This window comes from Homo sapiens, chromosome 17, assembly GCF_000001405.40.
Source record: "Homo sapiens chromosome 17, GRCh38.p14 Primary Assembly".
NCBI classification, from domain to species: domain Eukaryota; kingdom Metazoa; phylum Chordata; class Mammalia; order Primates; family Hominidae; genus Homo; species Homo sapiens.
Window position 1 is genome coordinate 49,863,856 of NC_000017.11, and position 22,487 is coordinate 49,886,342.

Genomic DNA, 22,487 nt, shown 5'->3' on the forward strand with positions numbered 1-22,487 from the left:
CTGAGACCCCATGTCTTTAAAAAAGAAAATAAAAGAAATAGTTGATGTATCCTGTGTCAGGCTTATTCTTGTCTTTGTTAGGTATTGGAGGAAGGAGATGCTGAGAGACATGCGTTTCTTCCCGGATATTTTCAGGCTCCAATCTGAGGGTCCAGTACTATCAGGCATGGCTCCCAGGCAGCTGCCTGCTGACGCTCTGTCTGTCCATACTGCGATGGTCCGTGACCTGTCCTGCAGGCGGAAGGGTGGGTCTTTCCCAGCTGGTTCCAGTTAGGCACAAGAAAGCGGGCGAGGGGTATATTTAGCCCTGGTTTCTGGAGGAGCCAGAGGTCTTTCATCCTTGGAGGCGCCGGCCGCAGTGGGACTCAGCTTGCCAACGCTGGGCTCCTGGGCTGCAGGCTTCAGGGCAGAGAGTGGGGTCAGGGAGAAGAAGGGGCAAATGTGATCCTACCCATTTCAGGGGCCAGAGTTGAGGGCCAAGTGGTGATGCCAGGCAGGGCAAGCAAGGCTTGACTGCCATGCTCAGAATATGTCCCTGTAAGCTGGAGGGCTCCTGTAGGTAGTGGAGGGCAGGCCTGGTGGTGGGGGAGAGGGATAACCCGCTGCCTACCCCTCCAGCCCAGACCCAGCCTAGGCCTAGTATGTCCACAGCGTCAGGTTTATTCTCTGGTGCTTAGCTCTGGCCTGGGAATCTGGGGGCCTGTCCTTAGGAGAAGTGAGCAGGGGCAGAGTTCAAGGAGTAGGGAGGGGGTACCCTAGACTGCCTGCCATGTTTGGGTGTTCATATTTGGAGAAGGTGGGAGGGTTGGGGGGGCAGATATACACGTGCAGGAGAGAAAGAGGCAGGCATAGAGCAGCAACAACATGCCACGTGGTGTGTTGGGGTCTACAGGAGGGGCGCACATGTTTGATTCAGCACTATGTGCTGGGGCTATGTAGTCTGAACATGGTGTGATGGGGCTGGTGGGCTGGGACCCCATGAGGTATGGAGGATTGTGTTGCTGGGATCTGGTGGTGTGTGGGTGTGAGATGACCCATGGGTGACCGTGGCATGCTCCACTGTGGGTGACTAGGACATTGTGTGGCTCCATCATGCTGTCCATGGGGGCAGCCTGTGAGTATGATCGGAGATGAGGGACTAGAGTTTAAACTGTACGACTGTGATCTTGTGGGGTGTGTAATTATCCCCATGGATGTTGGTCTCTGTGTGTGAGACTGTGAGTAAACACATGTGTGGATGGAGAGTTTGGGGCTCTGACTCTGTGTGTGCGTGTGTGTGTGCGCACATACCCACGTGTGATTGTGATTCTGAGTGTAGCTGGGTGTGTGAAACGTGCACAGACCTATCAGCCACTGCAAACGAGGCCTGCTCCCTGCTGAGGTTCATGGCCTCTTGCCCTTCCGGGGACCCCCACCCCAAAGCCACAGGCCCTCTGGGCCTGAGGGAGGGAACCCTACAAGTTGTAAGCGCCTGTCTCTCTCCTAATCCTTTCACCCCCACTCCCTCCGACCCGTCCCCACAGACTGCAGGCTTCTACCTGCCCCAGGCGGGAGGCAGGGGAGAGAAAGAGGAGCCTGCCCGCCTGCCCGCCGCCCCTCTGTCGTCTCCACGCTCAGACAAAGAGCTCACCCTGGTCTCTGTGGGCGTCTGGGAGACGCTGGGGGGATTAGCTGCCCGCACCGCCCTCTCCCCACCTTGTGCCAGCCCACCCGGCTGGCACCAACACCTCAAGCCCAGGGGCGGTGCCCTCACCGCAGCCTCTCTAGCCTGGGAGAGTGTGTGTGTGTGTGTGTGTGTGTGTGTGTGTGTGTGTGTGTGTGTCTTGCTCAGCAGGGGTATGTGTGGAAGCAGAGGTACAGGCCCCTGAGAAGCGGGTCTTGGGACACCACCTTCCATTGCTGGCCTGGGCAGGCTCTCACCTTGGTTTCTGCTTCTCTGTCACTCCAGCCTGTGCTTGGAAGGCCTACATCTTTGTTGTCACCCCTGTGTCTTTGAATCCCTCATTCCCTGCCCTCTCACCCCTCCCCCACTGTTGACTGCAGCTCAGACCTTCCATTCTTTCCCCTGCATTCCTGGGGGAGGGCATGACCAGGCCAGTGAGCTCTGAGAGCAGGAGGGAGAGAAGGCGGCAGGCTTCCTCCAGTGAGAGCTAGGCATACCCCCTCAAGGCTAAGCTGTCCATTTCACCACGGGCTCAGGAGGGATAAGGCTGGATGGAGGAGACTTGGGGATGACACTGGGAGTGGCTATTACTTGTGTTTCAGGAGAGTCCCCTGTGGCTTCCCCTGCATCAGCAGAGCAACTAGTATATGGTTAGAGTAACTGTCTCATGACTTCAAGGCCCAAAGTTTGGCCCTTTTCTTCACATTGTGCAAAACCAGAAATGGTTTTCAAAATTCTTTCATGTTTATTTTCATTGGATTTTCACAACAGAAAGGGTGAGTATTGCTACTTTTCTCATTTCAGAGGTATTTAAACCAAGGCTCAGAGAAGTTAAGGGATTTATCCAAACTCACACAACTGGTGAGCAAGAAAGCGGAGAGAGAACCCAGGGTCTTGCTCTGTAAGTGTCAAGAGAGACCCTTTGGATCCTTCATAATTCCTGTGACCAGACCTCTGCCTCCCCAGTACCTGTCCCCTCCACCCCTGAAGAATCTGCTGTCTCGGGAAACTCCAGAATGGAGCTGGGCCAGTGGGAGCTGGATGAGATGACCTGGCTCCTCCCTGAGTCACACCCAATCCTTGAGCAATCAGGTCCCAATTCCACAGACAGTTCTTATGGTCCATCCCATGCTTTTGAGAGAGTTATGGAAATCCTCCTCTTTCTGCTATGTGGGTTGGGGTCTACTTTGTTCTTAAAGAGCCCTCCATATTCTTTTTTATCCAAAAGTTATTACATAGTTTAGGCCCCTCCTGCTGCAGAAAAGGACTGTCTCCTTTGGTTTGGTCTTCAGTGGAGGTGGTGAGGCACTGGCCCCATCCCTTCTATGGGAGTGTGCTTCCAAGAAGGATGCTGGGATTTCCCAATGACTGGGGGAGGCCATGAAGGTTAGGGAGCTGGCTCAGTGTCTTGAAATAAGAGATGACCTATAAATGTAGAGGAACACACAGTGGTGAGTGGGTGGATAAATATATAGAAGTGGGTGATGTCCAGGTGAGTGGATGGAGGATGCATGTGTGAGTTAGTGGGTAAGTGGATGGATGGATGAGTGGGCAGGTGGGGTTTGTGGATGGAGGAGCGGCTGATGTTTGGATGGATTTGTGGGTGTTTAGGTAAATGGATATAAGGGTGAATGGTTGAATGGATAGATTATTAGGTGGGTGCATGATGGATGGCTGGATGGATGGATGGATGGTTGAATGGATAGATGGGTAGAAGAAAGAAAGGAAGAATAGGATGGATGAATGGATAGATGGATGGAAGGAAGGAAGGATGAATAGGTGATGGAAGGATGCATAGGCGAATGGGATAGTGGGTGGATAGGCATGAGAGTAGATTCGTGGCAGAGATTTGGGAGCCTGGAGGAGTCTTTAAAAGACAGACTATACATAGTGAATGAGTTTTTCACATCTACCTTAGTTTTGGTCAGCTCTCAATCATCTAGACTGATGGAGAGAAACCATGCTATGGAAAAGTCTAGAAGGTGTTGGCCTATTTCTTGGTCTCTTCTGCCCTTCGGAAAAATCTTCTCTCGTGGGACTCTATGGCCTGGTTTCCCATGATTATAGGAGCCCTCATGCATTGAGAACATGCTGGATGCCAGGTGCCTTACATACATCGTCACATTTAATTCTCACAACATCCCTTCAAGGTAGGGAGTACTTCTCCCATTTTACAAATGAGGAAACTGAGGCTCAGAAAGGTGAAAGGATATGCTCAGTATTACCCAGGCAGGATGTTGGAAAATCAGGATTCCTATTCAAGTTGGCCTGACTTCTCTGCCTCATGCCACCCCTAATTTCTGAACACCCCCCCCTCCCTGCAGTCCCAGGCCCAGCTGGAGAGAATGGGTCCAAGGAGCATCAACTGGAGGGACACATCAGAGAGGTGAAGGAGAGGGCTTCAGAGGATGCAAAGGCTAGAGGACCAGAGATGGGCCCACATGGGGATCCTCAAGGCTTCCAGGGCTGGTGCAGGGGCCAGTCAGCCTCTGTCTGAAATAAGAGGCAGCATGAAGGATTTGGGTGAGACCACCAGAAGGACTTTCTGGCCTAGAGGGGTATAGAACTCTGGAATGGGTGGAAGAGGGAAGGCATAGAGAAACATCCTTTGGAGAAAGCATCTTCTGGGAGCTGCAGTGAGGCTGACTTCCTGACCAGAGCAGGAGGTGGCTAGAGGTCATTTCAGGACCTGCCCTTTCAGCCAAGAGGCTGGCATCCCTGCCTGGCTGGAAGTTCCGAACCTCAAGAGCTGGAGTTTTTCCGGCCCAAGGAAAGGCAAATCATGGGGACTGGTCCTAAGATGCTGAAGCTGGAGCAGTTTGGAGCCCACTTCAGAACACTGAACCTGGGGCAGAGAGAGGCCAGGATGCTTTTTCTGGGAGACAGAGAGGTGGTGGCTGCAGGAACCATGAGAGATGCTCGCCTTGCTCAGAAGTCCCTGAGGTCAGCAGCCTGCCCTTCGCCTGGGGATGCTGCCCGTGAGCAGGTGGCTCTGACCTCTGGCCAGCTGTGGGCAGGGGTGGAGGAGGACTGGGGGGCTGAGACTGTGTGGTCCAGGTGGCCCGAGCAGAGGGTGGCCCCTCCTGTGTCTCTCCTCTCCCTCTGGCCTCGCCTCCTGGCCCTTTGATGCTCCTCTCACCACAGACTTCAAACAGGCTGCCCTCTGCTCTGCCCGCCGCCCGCCCTGCCTGCCTGCGATAATTAGAGCCTCACTCCCTGCCTCTTGCCCTCACTCTCTTCCCAGCTCTCCAGGGAAGCTCTGCCAGCTCTCTAGGCGCCGATCCTCCATTCTTTTTTCATTTTCTCACCCCTTCTCTTTTTCTCCATCTCTTCCCTCTGTTCTTGGTTCTCTGTCTCTGATCCTCTGTCTAGATCAGGGATCTCTCTCTCTCTCTCTCTCTCTCTCTCTCTCTCTCCTCTCTCTCTCTCTCTCTCTCCTCTCTCTCTCTCTTCCCCCTCCCTTCTTCCCCATTTCTCTATCTACCTCTGTGTATTTTCTCACTCTGTCATCTTTTCTCTGTCTTCTCTCCTCTATCCATCTCTGTCTTTCCTTTTATTTTTCTTCTCTCTCCCTTTTCAGGAGATCTTCACCCCCACACATGGTTGGCTGCCCTCTTCTGTGCCTTTACCCTCCCAGAAACTGGGCCTCGGGACTCCCCTCTGCTCCCTGATTGAGCTGGGTCCTGGTGCAGGCAGGAAGTAAGCCAGCACAGGGCCCCTCTGCCTCCTTTCTGGTCAGGGCCCTCTGGGCTCCTGGGCCTGGAGGAGGGGGCAGCCTCAGGGCCCTCTCACCCCTCCTTTGGCATCTTTTAGGCCCTTTGCAGGTCTGGATTTTCTGACTCACCTGGCCTCCCACCCAGAGTGCCCCCTTCGTGGCCCTGTGGGAGGCGGTACCATGGCCATTCTCTTTCCCAGGAGAAGAGGGGTCTTGCCTAGGAGCCTCTCCGTGGCCTGATGGAAATAGGGGAGCCAAGAACCCCACAAACCTCCCTCCACAGAGCACTGGAGCTTGGGCTGGACCTTGAGCCCCTGCCAGGGCCCAGGCACCTCTGGCAGTATCTGTCAGTCAGGAGCAGGGGTCCCATGGCCACTGAGGAGAGGCTTATACCGCCCCCCACCCCCGGGCCCAGGACTTCTGGTGCTGCAGATCCAGGCCTCTTGGAGAGACTAGTTTAAAGGGGCAAGGGCCTTGGAGGGTGGTGAGAGCCCAGGCTGTGCACAGACTCCCAGGGCTGAGAGCCAGATGGGTGGGAGCCCCCACTGGCACTGCAGCCCCGGACTGGACCCTTGGCATCCCTGGGCTGCAGTTTCCCAAGGGCACTGTGATGGTAAGAAAGGCATGACACAGCCCTCAGCTGCGCATGCTGCTTTCCAGTTCATAGCCCTTTCCTGGTCACGAGCCTCCTGACACCCAACACAAGCAGGAAGTCTATATCCTTTGTACAGATGAGGACACTGAGGCATCAGGCGTGCCTCAGGTGCTCTTCTCTAAGGTCCCTCCTGGAGGGGGAGGGCAAGCTGGCTGGGCCGCAGGCTCAGGGCCCCATGGGATTCCAGGCCCCAGACAGTGGGTGGCAGGCAGGACACAGGCCTCTGTCCAGAACTTCACTGCCCTTCAGGCGCGGGTAGTTCTGGCCAGTTCTAGGTGGCAAAAATGGGTGCTCACCAGGTAGGTGGGAGCTGAGGAGTGGAGGGGCTGCAGCAGGAAATCCAATATTTACTGAGCATTTCTGGATAGGCCCCAGGAGAAGCCATGTCTGGGGGCTGCCGAGGGGATCAGGAGCTGGACAGGCTGGGGGAGGGGCCCTCTGAGTTGGCCAGACCTGGGGCAGAGGGATCTCCCAGCCACCCAAGGGTGTGTGTGTACATGTGTGTGCACGATTGTGAGGCGGTGTGGGATTGTGTGTACAGATGTGAACGTGTATACACCAGCACGAGTGACTGCAGGTGTGCTGTGTGTGTGCACACGTGTGCATGTGAGCGAGGGTTTGGGACTATGTACATACGTGTGTGTGAAGGTGTGGTTATGTGAGTGAACGGGAATGAGGGGGAATGACCATGTCAGTGGCTGCGCCCTGAGTGTGCATATGAATGGGCTGGGGTCTGCTGGTGAGAGGATCCACGAAAAGGTGAGAGAAGGGGCGGGAGTGAGCAGGCATGAGAGTGTGTGCTCATGAGCATGAGTGTGTGTGCTGATGCATGAGCGTGTGTGCACACCTGGGGTTTCCTCCTCATCTTTAGGTCTTGTAGCATTGGCCACCTTCTTCCTCCATCCCAGCCTCCCTTACTCCTTCCCTTTTTCCTTCCCTCTCCCCTTCCTGCTCAGCCACCCTGTGAAGACCGAGTTCCAGGAAGCACAATGGGGATGCCCTTTTCTCCCTTTGCTGGCAAGAAGGGGGTCCTCAGAGCCCGGGGTGGATGGTTGGTTCAGGAAGGATGGTCCTGGGGCTTGTAGGGATTGAAGGCTCCAGGGCACAATGGCACCTATCTCTGGGAGCTGGGTACAGAGGAGGAGTTGGGGAAAGTGGCCTCCTCCCTGCTCCTCTCCCCGCACCATCCCAGGTGAAAATGTGCATGAGAGAGAGTGGTTGTTAAGTGTCAGCATCTGAGACCTGAGTGTGGGACTGTGTTGCTGAGGGAGGCAGCTCCAGGCAGTGCCCTGGGTGCCAGCTCCTGCCTTCCCTGCCCTGTGGCCTGGCAAGTCCCTGCCTCTCTGGGCCACCATGCCTCACCTTCGAAGTCTTCTCCTTCTGGTCCTCACACCTGGCTCCCTGGCCCTCACCCCCTCTCCTACCTCAAGAACTTTGGCCCGTTTTCTCCTGGCTGTGCCAACTTGGCGGGGCCTGCGGTCTGAGGTTCTTGGCTGGGGAGAAGGCCTAGAGGAGTGAGGGAGTTTATTTTGCCTTTAGAAATCAGGGCTTTGGGCTGAGGTTGGCTTGCTCACCCCAGACAGACTTGTCTGAGCACACCTCTGCTGCAGGGAGGGCTGGGCTTGGGCACTCAGCGCTGCTTTCTCCTGCCACTGCCTGGGTGGGAGGGAGCTGTCCGAAGGGGACACTTGCTCTGGGGAGCCCCCATCCAAGGGGCGAAGCACAGCCCTGACCTGGGGGACCCTTCTGTTTGATGAGAGAGACAAGACACGCTGGATACCCAGAGAGCCGGATACACACAGTGGAATAAGGACGCAAGTCTTGGCCAGACAGAACCCCCAGAGTGTTTAACCAAGGGCCGGGCAGAAAGTGGCCACTCAATTCCTTTTTTTTTTTTTTTTTTTATCATTTGTTTGAGACAAGGTCTTGCTCTGTCGCCCAGGCTGGAGTGCAGTGGCAAGATCTCGGCTCACGGCAACCTTGGCTTCCCTGGCTCAAGCAATCCTCTCACTTCAGCCTCCTAAGTAGCTGGGACTACAGGTACACACCACCATGCCCAGCTAATTTTTGTATTTTTTGTAGAGATGAGGTTTCACTATGTTACCTAGGCTGGTCTCCAACTCTTGGGCTCAAGTGATCCTCCCACCTTGGCCTCCCAAAGTGCTGGAATTACAGGCGTGAGCCACCTTGCCTGGCCTAATTCTTTGAATGAATGAATGAATGAATGAAAAGAAAGGAAAGAAGGAAGGAAGGGAAGAATGACATCAGGGCCAGAGGGGAGGGAGGAGATAGGTGGTGCTGAGTGAGTGAGGAGCCTGGGCAGCTTCCTGAGGGCTCCAGGATGTAGGGACAATGAAGCCTTTTCCCTGAAGCTCAGGACATTTGAGGCCTCTAACATCTATTTTGACTAGTGTTTTTTTTCCCCAAGATGGAGTTTTGCTTTTATTGCCCAGGCTGGAGTGCAATGATGCAATCTCGGCTCACTGCAACCTCCATCTCCCGAGTTCAAGCCATTCTCCTGCCTCAGCCTCCCAAGTAGCTGGGATTACAGGCATGTGCCACCACGCCCGGCTAATTTTGTATTTTTGGTAGAGACAGGGTTTCACCATGTTGGTCAGGCTGGTCTCGAACTCTTGACCTCAGGTGATCCACCCGCCTCGGCCTCCCAAAGTGCTGGGATTACAGGTGTGAGCCACCATGCCCAGCTTTGACCAGTATTTGAGGCCTCTCCAGGACTCTGGAACCAAGGCCTCGTGAGATTCCCTGCTTAGTTCACTCTCTCTTTCTGCCTCCATCTTCCACTCCCATTCTGGGGAGACTGCCCCATCAGCAGCCCAGAGAGCATGTCCAGGGATTTCCCTCCTCTGTGCCCCTCCTTAGGGAGATCACTCAGCTTGGAGGAGGAAGCAGGGTCCTCGTCGTTCAGGGGCAGGGAGAGATGGACCAGCTGGGCCCCTACTCTCTTCAATGTCTGGATCACTTCCCCTGTGGCCCCACTTCCTCCCTGCCAAATTCTGGAAATCACAGCCTGGCCTGCCACACTTGTCTCCTCTCTGACACCATCCCAGCCTCTTCAGTGGCAGGGAGGAGTGCAAAGTGGGGGTGGGGAGGACTACAGTGGGAAGAACCACTACGTCATCCCTGCGTTCAGCCCCAGACGCTGGGCTAAAAGGCTGTAGTGGGCAAGATCAGGAGGATGGGGCCTCCAGGGGTGTCAGGGACCCACCAATTCCCAGGTAGCCTGCAGGGCGGCAGCCTCAAAAATGAGGCTCAAAGAAACCCAGAGGTGAGTGGGTGGGTGGAGAGCAGGTTCCAGCCCACTTCCTGCTCTCATCAGCCCTCACCCCACAACATAGGGCTGCTGTGTCTCCCTGTGCCTGGGGTCTGTCTCCAGAACTGAGAGGGTGGGATGCTGAGGGGGGAGGGTCCTGAGACCTGAGGCTGGTTGTCCCCCATCAGCTGAGGGGCTCTTGGGGGCAGGGGATATGTATATGTATCCCCCCATCTGACTGGTTCAAGAAGAGGGAAGTGGTAGGCATGACCAAATTAGATGGACTTCGAATTACATCCTGATGGCAGAACCTCCCCTGCCCCAGCCCATTCCCTTCTTGGTAGGAGATCAAGGTTCTGGAGGGCTGTGAGTGGGCTGGCCCTCTGCCCCATGTTGAAAGCTCCATCCGACACACACCGTCTTGTGTAGCGATTGCTCTAACAGCTGCACTTAAAATGGATGGATGCAGGCACGTCTCAGATAAGAGCTGCTTGAGATTTCGAGTACTTTACAGTTGCACCTTCACACACCTGTTCCCATTTGGAGTCCCCTGGCAGCAATCATGAGACAAGGCGGGGGATGGGTTGTGTTTTTCCTGTTTTGCAGGTGAGGAAATTGAGGAGGAGCTGTACCTGTGGTTCAGGAAGTGTACAAAGGGTCTGGACCCCAGCCTAGGCTCTGGGACCCCAGCTCTGTCTATACTTCTCTGTCTTCTTATTTTTCACATTCACAAACTAATTTGATTCCTGGCTGGGCAGTGGCTCACACCTGTAATCCCAGGACTTTGGGAGGCTGAGGTGGGAGAATTGCTTGAGTCTGGCAGTTGGAGACCAGCCTGGGCAACATAGTGAGACGCCCCCCACCTCCATCTCCATAAAAAGTTAAAAAATTAGCTAGGCATGGGGGTGCATGCTTGTAGTCCCAGCCACTCAGGAGGCTGAGGTGGATGGATTGCTTGAGCCCTGGAGGCCAAGGCTGCAGTGAGCTGTGGTTGCGCCACTGCATTCCAGCCTTGGTGACACTGAGACCCTGTCTAAAAAAAAAATACAAAAAAATAAAAAATACCCAATTTAATTTGGTTCCTTTGGATTCCTCGTGGGTAGGCTGTGTCTGGTCAGCCCAGGGGGGCAGGGCCAGCAAAGATGGATGGGCCCATTTCAGGCTGCGTCCAGATCCCCTTCCCAGCCTAGGGGCTCGGGCTTCCTTTGGGGGAAGTTCTACAAGGTAGCAGCCCTCTCTCCTGGTAGCCCCAACCACTGACCTGTGGGCTGCACCCGGGCTCAGGGGGCTGATAGGAGGCACAGGGTCTGGGTCAGGCCCCAGCCAGGGCTGCCCCTCTGTGGATGGGTGGGAGGTGGGCATGGGAGCCTTTGATCTGTTGCCATCTAACCCTGGGTACTTGAGTGTCATTGTGGCCCCCATGCTAGTTATTGGCCAGGCTACTCCAGAGCACACTCCTCTCTGGGTGACAGCCCCCTTCCCACCATGGCCCCTGGCAAGAGACCCCCTCCCCTCCACGCCCACCTAACAACCCAGACACCCCAACTCACCACCTCAGGGCTCCCCTCTGTCTTCCTCCTGAGGTGCCAGGGCCCTATAGGCACTTTACCTGGGTGAACTCAATCAGCCTGAGAGTAGATATCATTATCCCCCATTTTAGGGATGAGAAGCTGAGGCCCAGGAAGGTAGAGTGATTTACTCAAGGTAACACTGCTAGGAAGCTGGCGGAGGTGGGATTCAGGCTGTCAGGCTCTGAGAAGGGCATAGTCAAAGGGGATGCTGCAGAGAGAGCTTGGAACTTGGGAAGGGCTTTGAATGCCTTTCAGAGGAGTGAGCCTCAGTTTATTTTGTAAGTGAGGAGCTTTCAAGCAGGACAGTTACACAGTGATAGTTGAGAGCAAAACTGTCTGGGTCCAAGTCTTGCCCTGAACACCTAGCTGTGTGACCTTGGGCAAGTTACCAAACCTCTCTGTGCCTCATGTTCTCATCTGTAAAAATGGAATGGAAAGAGTGTCTAACTAATAGGCTTGTTATAAGGATTAGGTGAGTTCAGGAGCCTAAGGCACTTTGGACAGAGAGCAGTACATGGCACAAACGAAGTGCCACATGTTTGCATTAGCATTGGTGGCTCCTAACCGGACCCCCTCCCTTCTTCCTTTCTTACTAACTTCCAACCCCATCCACCATCCTCTCCTTGAGGAATGGGTGATAATGCTTGGAGGAAGGAAATGGGCCTATGGCCGGCCAGGGGCAGAGACACAGTGTGCCTTGCAAGCTGCCCAAGCCCTTGCCCATCTCTTGTTATGACTGGCACATGCTTGGTGGGCAGGAGGTATGTGCATTTGAGTCAGATAGGGGAGGGGAGGCAAAAATGGAAAAGTCTGAAAAAGTGATCTGAAAGAGTGGATTGCCTGTACTTTCTCCTGTGCCCTCCTGATGACTGGCTGTGGCTCAGGGTATGGCCAGAGGGACCCATGTTAGGCATGAAGGGGATGGCTGTCACGGTAAGAGGGTCTTCCGGTGCTGGGTGAGGAGGAGGTGGGACCAGCTTCCAGCAAGAGGGCCAGAAGGAGCTGGGCTGAGAGGAGGGGAGGGGCTGGCTATGAAGAGCAGGGGCGGGGTGCCAAGGAGGCAATGGAATGGTAGGGGTGGATGGGTGGGAGAGGATTGAAATCCACGGGGTGGGGGTGGGGCAGGTGGAAGGCAGGCCTGCAGGCAGGAGAGGCAAGGCCGACTGATGGTGGGAGACACCCCGCCGGGTGGTGGAGATGAAAGCAGCTGCAGCGGCTCCTGCGCCATGTCCCTAATCCCTGCTTGCTCCCCTAGAGGCTGGGGCATTCTCCCCAGAGCGGCATGCTCCTCCGGCCTGCCCTGGCCCAGCTCTCAGGAGTGTGCACTTCCACCCCTGATACAGCCAGGGATGAGCTGTGGGCTGGGGCAGACAGAGCCCACAGATCAAAGCACTGGCCTCCTAGGTGAGACGGGACCTCAGCTGTAGGCAAAGCGGGATGTTTCCCAGTTAGAATTCACAGATGAGCAATCTGATCCCTCACCTTTTCCCTCCCTTTTCCCTTTATTCCAGCACTGAGTACAGAGCCTGACTCACAGTAGGCACCCAATAATTTTTTGACTTTATAAGCAGAGCTAAGGATGCATTTTCTATGGTTCCTGCTAATGACCTGATGATGCCTTTGAAAACTTTGATTTTTTAATTTTGTATTTGTATATATATTTTTGAGCTAGGGTCTCGCTCTGTCACCCAGGCTGGAGTACAGTGGTGTGATCACAGCTCACTGTAGCCTCAACCTCCTGGGCTCAGGGGATCCTCCCACCTCAGCCTCCTGAGTAGCTGGGACTACAGGTGAGTGCCACTATGCCCAGCTAATTTCAAATTTTTTTTGTAGAGACAGGGTCCCATTATGTTGCCCAGGCTGGTCTCATGCCATCCTCCTGCCTTGGCCTCCCAAAGTGCTGGGATTACAGGCATGAGCCACCACACCTGGCCTGAAACTTTTAAAACTTAGTTCCAGCTGGGTGTGGTGGCACGTGCCTGTGCTCTCAGCTACTCAGGCGGCTGAGGCAGGGGGATCACTTGAACCAGGAGTTGGAGGCTGCAGTGAGCTGTGATGGCGCCACTGCACTCCAGCTTAGGCAACAGAGCAAGACCCTCTTTTTTTTTTTTTTTTTTTTTTTAATTTAAGATGGAGTCTTGCTCTGTCGCCCAAGCTGCAGTGCAGTGGTGCGTTCTCCGCTCACTGCAACCTCTGCCTCCCAGGTTCAAGCAATTCTCATGGTTCAGCCTCTCGAGCAGCTGGAATTATAGGCACGCACCACCACGCCTGGCTAATTTTTGTATTTTTAGTAGAGATGGGGTTTCATCATGTTGCCCAGGTTGGTCGGAAACTCCTGGTCTCAAGTGATCCGCCCACCTTGGCTTCCCAAAGTGCTGGGATTATAGGCGTGAGCCACCGTGCCTAGCCAAGACCCTAACTCTTAAACAAACAAACAAACAAACTTAGCTCCATCTGTTAATAGCTGTGTGACTTGGGCAAGTCCCTTGGGCTCTCTGTGCCTCTGTTTTCTCATCTGTGAAACGGTGATAAGAGTAGTACTTAACTCAGGGGGTTATTGAGAGAATTACCGGAGTTAGTATTTGTAAAGTGCCCAGAGGGTGCTGGGTGCATAGAAACCGCTCTGTTTGTTAAATGGAATAAGTAAACAAATACTGCTGAACAGTAACATCTGTGAAATTATGGTTTGGTGCACCAGTTATATTTTCTCACATTAAAATAGAACACTATTAACCATTATCAAGCCTAAAATCATCTTCCATACTGCCCATGGGACCATCCACTGCTGTCTCTGTACACAGGTAGGTCCTTATGTGGTTGAATCCCCTCACCCTCTTCCTGTGGGTATAACTGCAGTGTGCTCATCAGCCTCACTGTCACCATGGCTGTGCCAGAGCTCCTCTGCTGAGAGATGTCAGGGCCGTCTGCACCGCATGTTTTCTGTTGAAAATGACACTGCTCCTAATGACACATTGACACAGATGGGACATTAGAAGTATTTACCGGGGCCGGGTGAGGTGGCTCATGCCTGTAATCCCAACACTTTGGGAGGCTGAGGCGGGCGGATCACCTGAGGTCAGGAGTTCAAGACCAGCCTGGCCAACATGGTGAAACCCCGTCTCTACTAAAAATACAAAACTTAGCCAGGCACAGTGGCAAGTGCCTGTAATCCCAGCTACTAGGGAGGCTAAGGCAGGAGAATGGCTTGAACCCAGGAGGTGGAGGCTGTAGTGCGCTGAGATCCCGCCACTGCACTCCAGCTTGGGCGACAGAGTAAGACCTTTTCTAAAAAAAAAAAAAAGAAGGAAGGATTTGGGTCAGACCTCAGGAGGAACTTTCCAGGTCATAGGGGGGTGCATGACATTAAATGTGCTGGATCCTGGCCTAGAGTGGGGCAGAATTAGGGAATTCCTCTGCTCCAGGCCTTGGAAGGCCACCCTGCTGCTGTGGCACTGGGCAAGGTATGGGGGCAGGTGCAGTTGACAGGAGAGGGAAGAGGGAGGCTCAAGAGTTAGCACTAGAGGCTGGACGTAGCGGCTCATGCTTATAATCCCAGCACTTTGGGAGGTCGAGGTGAGTGGATCGCTTGAGCCCAGGAGTTTGAGACCAGCCTGTGCAACATTAACGAGACCCTGATTCTACAAAAAATTAGCTGGGCATGGTGACACGTGCCTGAAATCCTAGCTACTGAGGCTGAGGTTGGAGGATCACTTGAACCCAGGAGGCAGAGGTCGCAGTGAGCCATGACGGCACCACTGCACTCCAGCCTGAGCAACAGAGTGAGACCCTGTCTCAAAAAAAAAAAATAAAATAAAAAAATAAGGAGTTGGTTGGGCGCGGTGGCTCACACCTGTAATCCCAGTACTTTGGGAGGCTGAGGCGGGTGGATCACCTGAGGAGTTTGAGACCATCCTGGCCAACATGGCAAAACCCCATCTCTGCTAAAAAAAAAAAAAAAAAAAAAAATTAGCCAGGCGTAGTGGCGCATGCCTGTAATCCCAGCCACTGGGGAGGCTGAGGCAGTAGAATTGCTTGAACCCGAGAGACAGAGGTTGCAGTGAGCCGAGATAGTGCCACCACACTCTAGCCTGGGTGACAGAGCGAGACCATGTCTCAAAAAAAAAAAAAAAAAAAGTTAGCTCTAGAAAAAATCTGAGGGTAACATATACACAAGAGAAATGAAAATGATTGAAACTCTTCTCGTTTATTTTCCTCTTCCAGCATAATTCTTAGGTCACATATACATTTGGGAAAAAAGGCTTACAATGGGATCTGCTAAGGCCTGGAACCTTCATCGATGACTGGGAGAGGGGCACAGTCCAGCCCTGGGTGAGCTGTACCTGTCGTCTTAATGGAAACCTACAGGTCACTCTGTTAACCCTGCAGGAGGGCCCAGAGGAGGTCATCCCAGGCAGGCCCCCATCTCCAGATTGCTCCATTGCTTCACCAGGAGACTGTCTCTGGAGTCAGGCTCCCTAGACTTGAATCCTGGCGTCTCCACTGGCTTATCCAGTGGTCTTGAACAAGCGGCTGCCTCAGTTTGCTCATCTGTAAAACAAGAATAATAATTACAGTGTCTATCTCATTGGGGGAAGGAATGAGGTAATTCCGGGAAAGCCCTTAACGCAGTACTTGGCACATAACTGGTGTTCGGGGGCGCTGGTGATTCCCCTGAAACTCCTTTCAAATGGTCATTTTCACAGTTCTCTGGGAAATTCTCTCTGCAGTTTGCCCTCCAGTCCTCCTGTGATCATGACAATGTCATCTTTCTAGCTTATGTGGGGAATCAGGGCAGTGGGCATGTTGGTCCTTTCTGGCCTCAGTTTCTCCTTTCTTAAATGCCGCCTCCTCACTTCTGCCTCCCCCTCCCTTCCTCTCTCCCACCCACCCACCAAGCCTGCATGGTGAGATAATGTCTAAGAGATAGTTGGAGTTACTTGGAGGAAGAGGCCAGACAGTGAGTGACCAGAGGTGATTATCTGGCGTGACTAAAGCAGTGGTTTCCCTCCCCCAAGGCTGGGCAGGGGGAGGGGTATATCTGAGGTCGCTGGCCCTCCACGAGTGACTTCCCAAGAAGTTCTGGACCTGGGGAATCCTAACCTGGGGCGAGGGTGAGGGGAGTGGATGAGACTAGAAACTCTTTGTTCCAGGTGGATTTTCACAGAACAAAAAAACAAAACAATGCATCCCATTTGGGAGGGGCTTGGAGGGAGGGGACTGGCCAAAATGGCTCCCCAGCATCTCGGTTCTTTTCTCCCTTTGTTTTTCTTTTTGTTGTTGTTGTTGTTGTTTGAGATGGAGCGTAGCTCTGTTGCCCAGGCTGGAGTGCAGTGGCACCATCTCGGCGCACTGCAACCTCCACCTCCCGGGTTCAAGCGACTCTCCTGCCTCAGCCTCCTGAGTAGCTGGGATTACAGACGTGCGCCACCACGCCCAGCTAATTTTTGTATTTTTAGTACAGACAGGGTTTCACCATGTTGGCCAGGCTGGTCTCGAACTCCTGACCTCAAGCGATCCGCTCGCCTCGGCCTCCCAAAGTGTTGGAATTACAGGCGTGAGCCATCGCGCCCGGCTCTTTTCTCCCTTTGAACCGCCGTCCTGTCTCCAGCCCTCAGCCTGTCTCCTCTACGGAGACCGCTGCCCTTGCCCCTTAACCTTCTCCCTGCCACCCCTCAGCCGGGACCTAGCCCTCTCCTGGCACCTCCCCCCATCCTGCCCCCGTCCTGGGGTCCCCGGCTATGGCAGCCCAGGCCTAGACACCACTTTGAGACGGGAGCTCCCTGCCGATGGAAGACCCAGTCTCCGCCTCTCTTGGCCTCTCCTTTGCCCACCCCGCCCCCGGAATGCTGCCGAGGACCCAGCCCGGTAGGACAGGGCAGCGGGACTTGTCTCCGATTCTACGGCCTCCTCTCCGCGGAGGGACCCGGACGGGGCAGCTGCAGTTCCCGCGCAGGCCTCTGGGTGCTGCTCGGCAGCTGCGGTCGCTCACCGCCCCAGGCGGCCCTATACCTGACAGGTCCTCACCCGGGCCTTACGGCTCCCTCCCGCTCCCCGCAAAGGGGCCACCTTCATTTACTAAAAGGGAAACAGCCACTCAAAGGGCCGAAGTGATCCTACTTGGCGTTAGTATTGCTGAATCCCATTTACACACGGGGACACTGGAGCTCCGAGGCCAAGCGGATTGTCTAGGTCTCACAGAAACGGGGGGTGGTGGGGATCCTGGCAAAAACCTTAGAAAGACCCCTCTAAGCCCCTCCCTTCTATATCAGTTAGATTTCCAGAAGAACTTCCCATTCATAGGTGTGCCAGGAAAATCTTCAGCAGGTGAGAAAAGAAAAAGCAATTCAGGGACATTTGGGGCAGTTCAGGGCAAGGTGGGTGAGCGCCCCTCATTCCCCTTCCATGCCCAGTGTCATGGACTCTGCCCCTCCCTGTCCTGGGCCTCTTCGAGGAAGAAAGGGGAGGAGGAGCCTCTGTCTTGGCAGCCCTTGGGAGGGAATGGAGGAGGGGAGCCCGACAGAGGGGCTCCTCTGCAGGGGGCCACATCATGAAGGAGGGCTTCTTCCTCCCCCTCCCTTCTCCCCTCCCTCATCATCTGCCCCGCCTTGCCCCATGCCCAGCATTCTCCCAGCAGGGTCTGGGGGGACAGCAGCAATTTTGACGGTGGGCCTAAGAGTATACAATATGGTATCAGCATCAGCATGTGAGAGAGGCTGTGTGTGTGTGTGTGTGTGTGTGTGTGTGTGTGTGTGTGTGTGTCCTGTCCTAGCTGGAGTCCTTTCCAGGCTTCTTTACTGTAGATTCCCAAAACTCTGTGAAGCCCCCTACCCACAACACACACTCCCCAGAGACAGACAGCTGGTCTCCAGTCACCCCTCCTCAGCCCCTGTATGTGCGCGTGCGCATGTGTGTGTGAACGTGTGCACATATATGTGTGGGGGGATGTGCTTGAGGTTGGACAGGAACCACAGAGACATGGTCTCCCCCACTGACTGGGAGCCTCTGAGGTAAAGACCAAGCCCCTTCTCTAAATCCTGTGCCTAGGCTGGAGCGGGTGCTCTGTAAACATTCAGTTGGGACTGATGGGAGTGTGGGTGGAAGGGGGTTGACCTCTCCTTGGGGCGAGAAGGGTGTCCCCAGAGTCATCACTTCCATTCATTGCCTAGAGGATAGGGCAAAAGCCTCCTTACCTGCCCTGTCCCCTCCCTTCTATTCCTTAAGTTTTATTCATTTTAAAAAAGTTTCATTTAAGAAGTTATAAAAGTGCTACATACTTGCTGTAAAATTCAAATATAGACAGGCGCAGTGGCTCACGCCTGTAATCCCAGCACTCTGGGAGACTGAGGTGGGAGGGAGGGATCACCTGAGGTCAGGAGTTCCAGACTAGCCTGGGCAACATGGTGAAACCCCGTCTCTATGTCTCTACTAAAAATACAATGAAAATTAGCATGGTGGCGGGTGCCTGTAATTCCAGCCACTCGGGAGGACGAGGCAGGAGAATCGCTTGAACCCAAGAAGCAGAGTGAGCCGAGATCATGCCATTGCACTCCAGCCTGGGTGACAAAAGTGAAACACCATCTCAAAAATAAATACATTAAATAAATTCAAATATAGAAGACTATAGAATACAAAGTGTTCCATAAGTGCATCCCCCCATCAGAGGTAATTGATTGGTGTGCTTCCTTCCAGACCTTTTAAGCATTAAAAAAAAACCTTTTTATTAATAAAATACAAATGGGAGTTTACAAATAGTTTTTCAACTTGTTTTTCCATCATGCCCATCTGTACACACAGAGTGATCTCATTTTCAGGGGCTGCAGAGCATCTGTCTTCTGTGTGGCTGAACTCTAACTTGCTTAACTTTTCTTATCAAGGGGCATCTGGGCAGTCTCTGATTTTTCATCGTCATAGATAACTCTGGGACAAGGATGCTGGTACGAGCACCTTTGTGCTCCTGTGAGTGTGCTTCTGTAGGACTGCTCCTACAGAACAGCTGCGCCAGCGTGTGTGTGCATTAAACCTCCCGAGAGCTGCTGCTCAGTGGGTTGTGCATTTGCCACCACCTTTAGAGGAGGGCGTCCTCCCTTCTGTCCCGGTGATATGATCCTGGGGGCAGCGTCCACCTGTTCAGGAAGCCCTTTCTCAAGTCTGATCCAAGTTGCCTCAAATGGAATCTGAGCTGTTCCCTTCCCAAATCCCCTGGGCAGGGTCCTCTTCTTTGGGGTGGCACTCAGCTGGCTGGGTGGTCTGGGAAAAGCTGCTCTCTTAAAATCGTGTGTGTGTGTGTGTGTGTGTGTGTGTGTGTGTATGTGTGTGTGTGTGTGTGTGTTGGAGGGAAGGGAGCATTCTTCTCCTCTCCTTGTGGGAAGCTTCCTGCAGAAAAGAGAAAATTCTGGAAAGGACCAAGGAAGCTCTGGAAAATTAGCACCAGTGTTTCCTGAGAGTTGGGGGTGGTGGTCTCAGGACACTTCCTGCCTCCCAGGTCTTCATGTCTGGAAAGTACATGAAGCCTTCTCAGCTAGAAATTTCTAGACATTTCAAAGCACTTCTCACATACATACAAAGGCTTCCTTTGGGAAGGGAGGAGGGGACTGTGGCTTCTGCAATGCCTGGGGGAGGGTGGGTGGGAGTGGAAGGTAGAGCTTGGGGGCCAGAGAGGACCCAGGTGGCCCTCCTTAGTTGACTCTGGTGTTGCTTGTCGGTTCCACTCACGGCCCCTGTGGTCAGGTTTGAAGACTGTGTGGTGGTCACTCTGTGTGTGTGTGTATGTATGGCTCCACACTCATCTCCTCTATGGAATACTTTTATTGAGACTAAAAGGGTCAGAGGAGTCAGCTTTAACCCTTTGTGGGTTCACCTGATCCACAGAGCTCTGCATTCTGAACCAAAAGCCAGCCAGTAGATCTAGTCAAAGCCAGAGCCTTCAGGGCAGCACCCAATTCCTTCCCAAGGCTGTTGCTTATCTCTGCACTCTGAGCGCCCATTTACACAGCAAACCCTTGCTGAACACCCAGGCCCAAGACCCACATCTCATGAATGTGTTGTGTATGCATCTAGGGACGGACAAGAGACTGAGCCCACACAATGAGATAAGTGCTTTGATTGAGGAAGCAGCAGCAGGAGAAATTGCTGATTAGAAACTCACTCACTACGGTCTGATGCCTATTACCTCAATTACCCATAATTGACACCGCTCCTGGCTCTGTGACAAGCCAGGGGAAGTCCCAGGTCCATGAGGCAAAGCCCTCCTGGTTTTCACCAGGAGCCAGAAGGCAAGATTTGAACCCAGGACTGTCTGACTGCAAAGCCCTTGGCCTCTGCATCATCCGCCTCAGATAACACCACTAGTGGACTGGAGAGGGTCAGACGCTTGATATACCTTTGGTGAATGAATGGGCGAATGATTGAATGCCTGAATTGCAAGTGTCTATTTCATGTGCGGCTTTTCCTTGAGGCTGTGAGCATCTGTTGGTGGCACGGAGTATACCTTCTCCGTGTTTGAAGTCCCAGTCTGGAACAGAGGAGGGACCTGGTGAATAAATGAATGTGTAAATGAATGACGAAGCCATCAGTTAGTTCTGCTCTGGTAAAGCTTCCTGACGTTCCACTGATATGTTTTAGAAGGAAGTCAGACTGCAGGGTTAGAAGCCATCCCCTCCATGAGGCTCGGCACTGTCAGGATATTCCAGTCTCACCTGGACTGGGCCATGCAGTGGAGTGGAGGCAGGGCAAAGCCTGGCCCAGGCTAGTTTGCCTTGCAACAACCCCTGTCCTGAGAGCTGGGATGGGGAGGCCTAGGCAGGGATGCCTCTGGGCCCTCAGGGGAACTTAGGAGGCCATTGTGCCTATTCCCCTGCCTCCATGCCAGCTCTCACTCATCCTTTACCGCTCCCCGCCCCCCGGGCAAGCGTGCAGGACCCCATGGGAAATGATCAGCTTCTAGCACAGTGCCTGGCAGTCAGCGGGCTTGCAAGAAATGTTATTCAGGGAAAGTCAAATGAAAGGAATAGCGATATCAGGGAAGGATGTTCTGTAATCAGGCTACTCGCCATGGGGAAATTTTCCCTCCAGTCATACTGCAGAGGCTGCAGAAGGCTTCTGCCCATCAGGTCTGAATGACTGGCCTTGGGGAACACAGTGTCTGAGAGACCCCCAAAGAGCACCCCCCCCACCCTGAGGAACTGCTCATTGGGTGGGTCCCTTGCAGAGATTGTTTTCTTTTTCTTTTTTTTTTTTTTTTTTTGAGACGGAGTCTCACTCTGTCACCAGGCTGGAGTGCAGCGGTACGATCTTGGCTCACTGCAACCTCTGCCTCCTGGGTTCAAGTGATTTTCCTGCCTCAGCCTCCCAAGTAGCTGGGACTACAGGCATGCACCACCACACCCAGATAATTTTTGTATTTTTAGTAGTAGAGACATGGTTTCACCATGTTGGCCAGGATGGTCTTGATCTCTTGACCTCATAATCTGCCTGCCTTAGCCTCCCAAAGTGCTAGGATTACAGGCGTGGGCCACCGTGCCTGGTCTCTTTTTTTTCCTTTTCTTTTTTGAGATGGAGTCTCACTCTGTTACCCAGGCTGGAGTGCAGTGGTGTGATCGAAGCTCACTGCAGCCTCGACCTCCTGGGCTCAGGTGATCCTCCCACTTCAGCCTCCCAAGTAGCTGGAACTACAGGCATGCGCCACCACTGAGCTCAAACCATCTGCTGGCCTCGGCCTCCGAAAGTGATGGGATTACAAGCATGAGCCACCATGTCTGCCTTTTTTTTTTTTTTTTTCTTAAAGACAGGGTCTCGCTCTGTCACCCAGGCTGGAGTGCAGTGGTACCATCATGACTCGCTGCAGCCTCAAACTCCCAGGCTCAAGCAATCCTCTCACCTTAGCCTCCCAAGTAGCTGGGACTATAGGCGTGTGGCCACCATGCCCGGCTTATTTTATTCTATTTTGTTTTATTTCTTATAGAGACGGGGTCTCCCTGTGTTGCCCAGGCTGGTCTTGAACACCTGGGCTCAAGTGATCCTCCCGCACTGGCCTCATGAAGTGCATGGGATTACAGGCATAAGCCACTGCACCCAGTCAAGATTCTTAAACTTCTTAGAATCTTGACAAGCTTTGATGTGGAGAGCATGTATAAAATGGAGGTTCCTGGGCCCAGTGAATTAGAGTGGGGACGCTGTGGGAATCTGCGTTTTGAACAAGGGTTCCTCTAATGCTGAGGCAGGCAGGTGATACATGGCCTATATTTTGAGACACAAAACCTCAGTGACTATATCTCTGAATGCTAGAAAGGACATTGAGAAGATATCTGGTCTTTTTCTCCCCAAAAGGGGTTGGGTTTTGTCTTTAGGGAAGAAGGTTCATGGAGCTGGAGAAACCTCAGGGGCTTGGGTTTGATCCATTATAACCCACTGCACCCGTGCTGAGCACCCGCTCTGGACCAGCATCACAGCAAGCCCTGGGGGAGGAATGGGGAGAGGCAGGGAGGGGAAGGTGGCAGCTCTCTGCCCAGAGAGGGGAAAAGGGCCCAGGTGACAGAGTGAGAACGTTCTAAGAGACCTGGTCTTGCTGTGTCCCTCGGCCCATCTTGGGACTCATCAAGCTTAGCTTTGGCCAC

The 22,487-nt window shown here is 53.6% G+C and overlaps 4 annotated features.

Annotated features, from left to right (window-relative positions):
- Positions 375–874: an enhancer, noted in NCBI's record as "H3K4me1 hESC enhancer chr17:47941593-47942092 (GRCh37/hg19 assembly coordinates)". NCBI's record gives its function as "activates a minimal SCP1, AML or CMV promoter by ChIP-STARR-seq in primed H9 embryonic stem cells {active_cell/tissue: H9 hESC(primed)}" and the evidence as "EXISTENCE:reporter gene assay evidence [ECO:0000049][PMID:30033119]".
- Positions 1,705–2,399: an enhancer, noted in NCBI's record as "NANOG-H3K27ac-H3K4me1 hESC enhancer chr17:47942923-47943617 (GRCh37/hg19 assembly coordinates)". NCBI's record gives its function as "activates a minimal SCP1, AML or CMV promoter by ChIP-STARR-seq in naive H9 embryonic stem cells {active_cell/tissue: H9 hESC(naive)}" and the evidence as "EXISTENCE:reporter gene assay evidence [ECO:0000049][PMID:30033119]".
- Positions 7,069–8,012: an enhancer, noted in NCBI's record as "H3K27ac-H3K4me1 hESC enhancer chr17:47948287-47949230 (GRCh37/hg19 assembly coordinates)". NCBI's record gives its function as "activates a minimal SCP1, AML or CMV promoter by ChIP-STARR-seq in naive H9 embryonic stem cells {active_cell/tissue: H9 hESC(naive)}" and the evidence as "EXISTENCE:reporter gene assay evidence [ECO:0000049][PMID:30033119]".
- Positions 16,697–16,786: an enhancer, noted in NCBI's record as "active region_12373". NCBI's record gives its function as "activates an Ori minimal core promoter by ATAC-STARR-seq in GM12878 lymphoblastoid cells {active_cell/tissue: GM12878}" and the evidence as "EXISTENCE:reporter gene assay evidence [ECO:0000049][PMID:35858748]".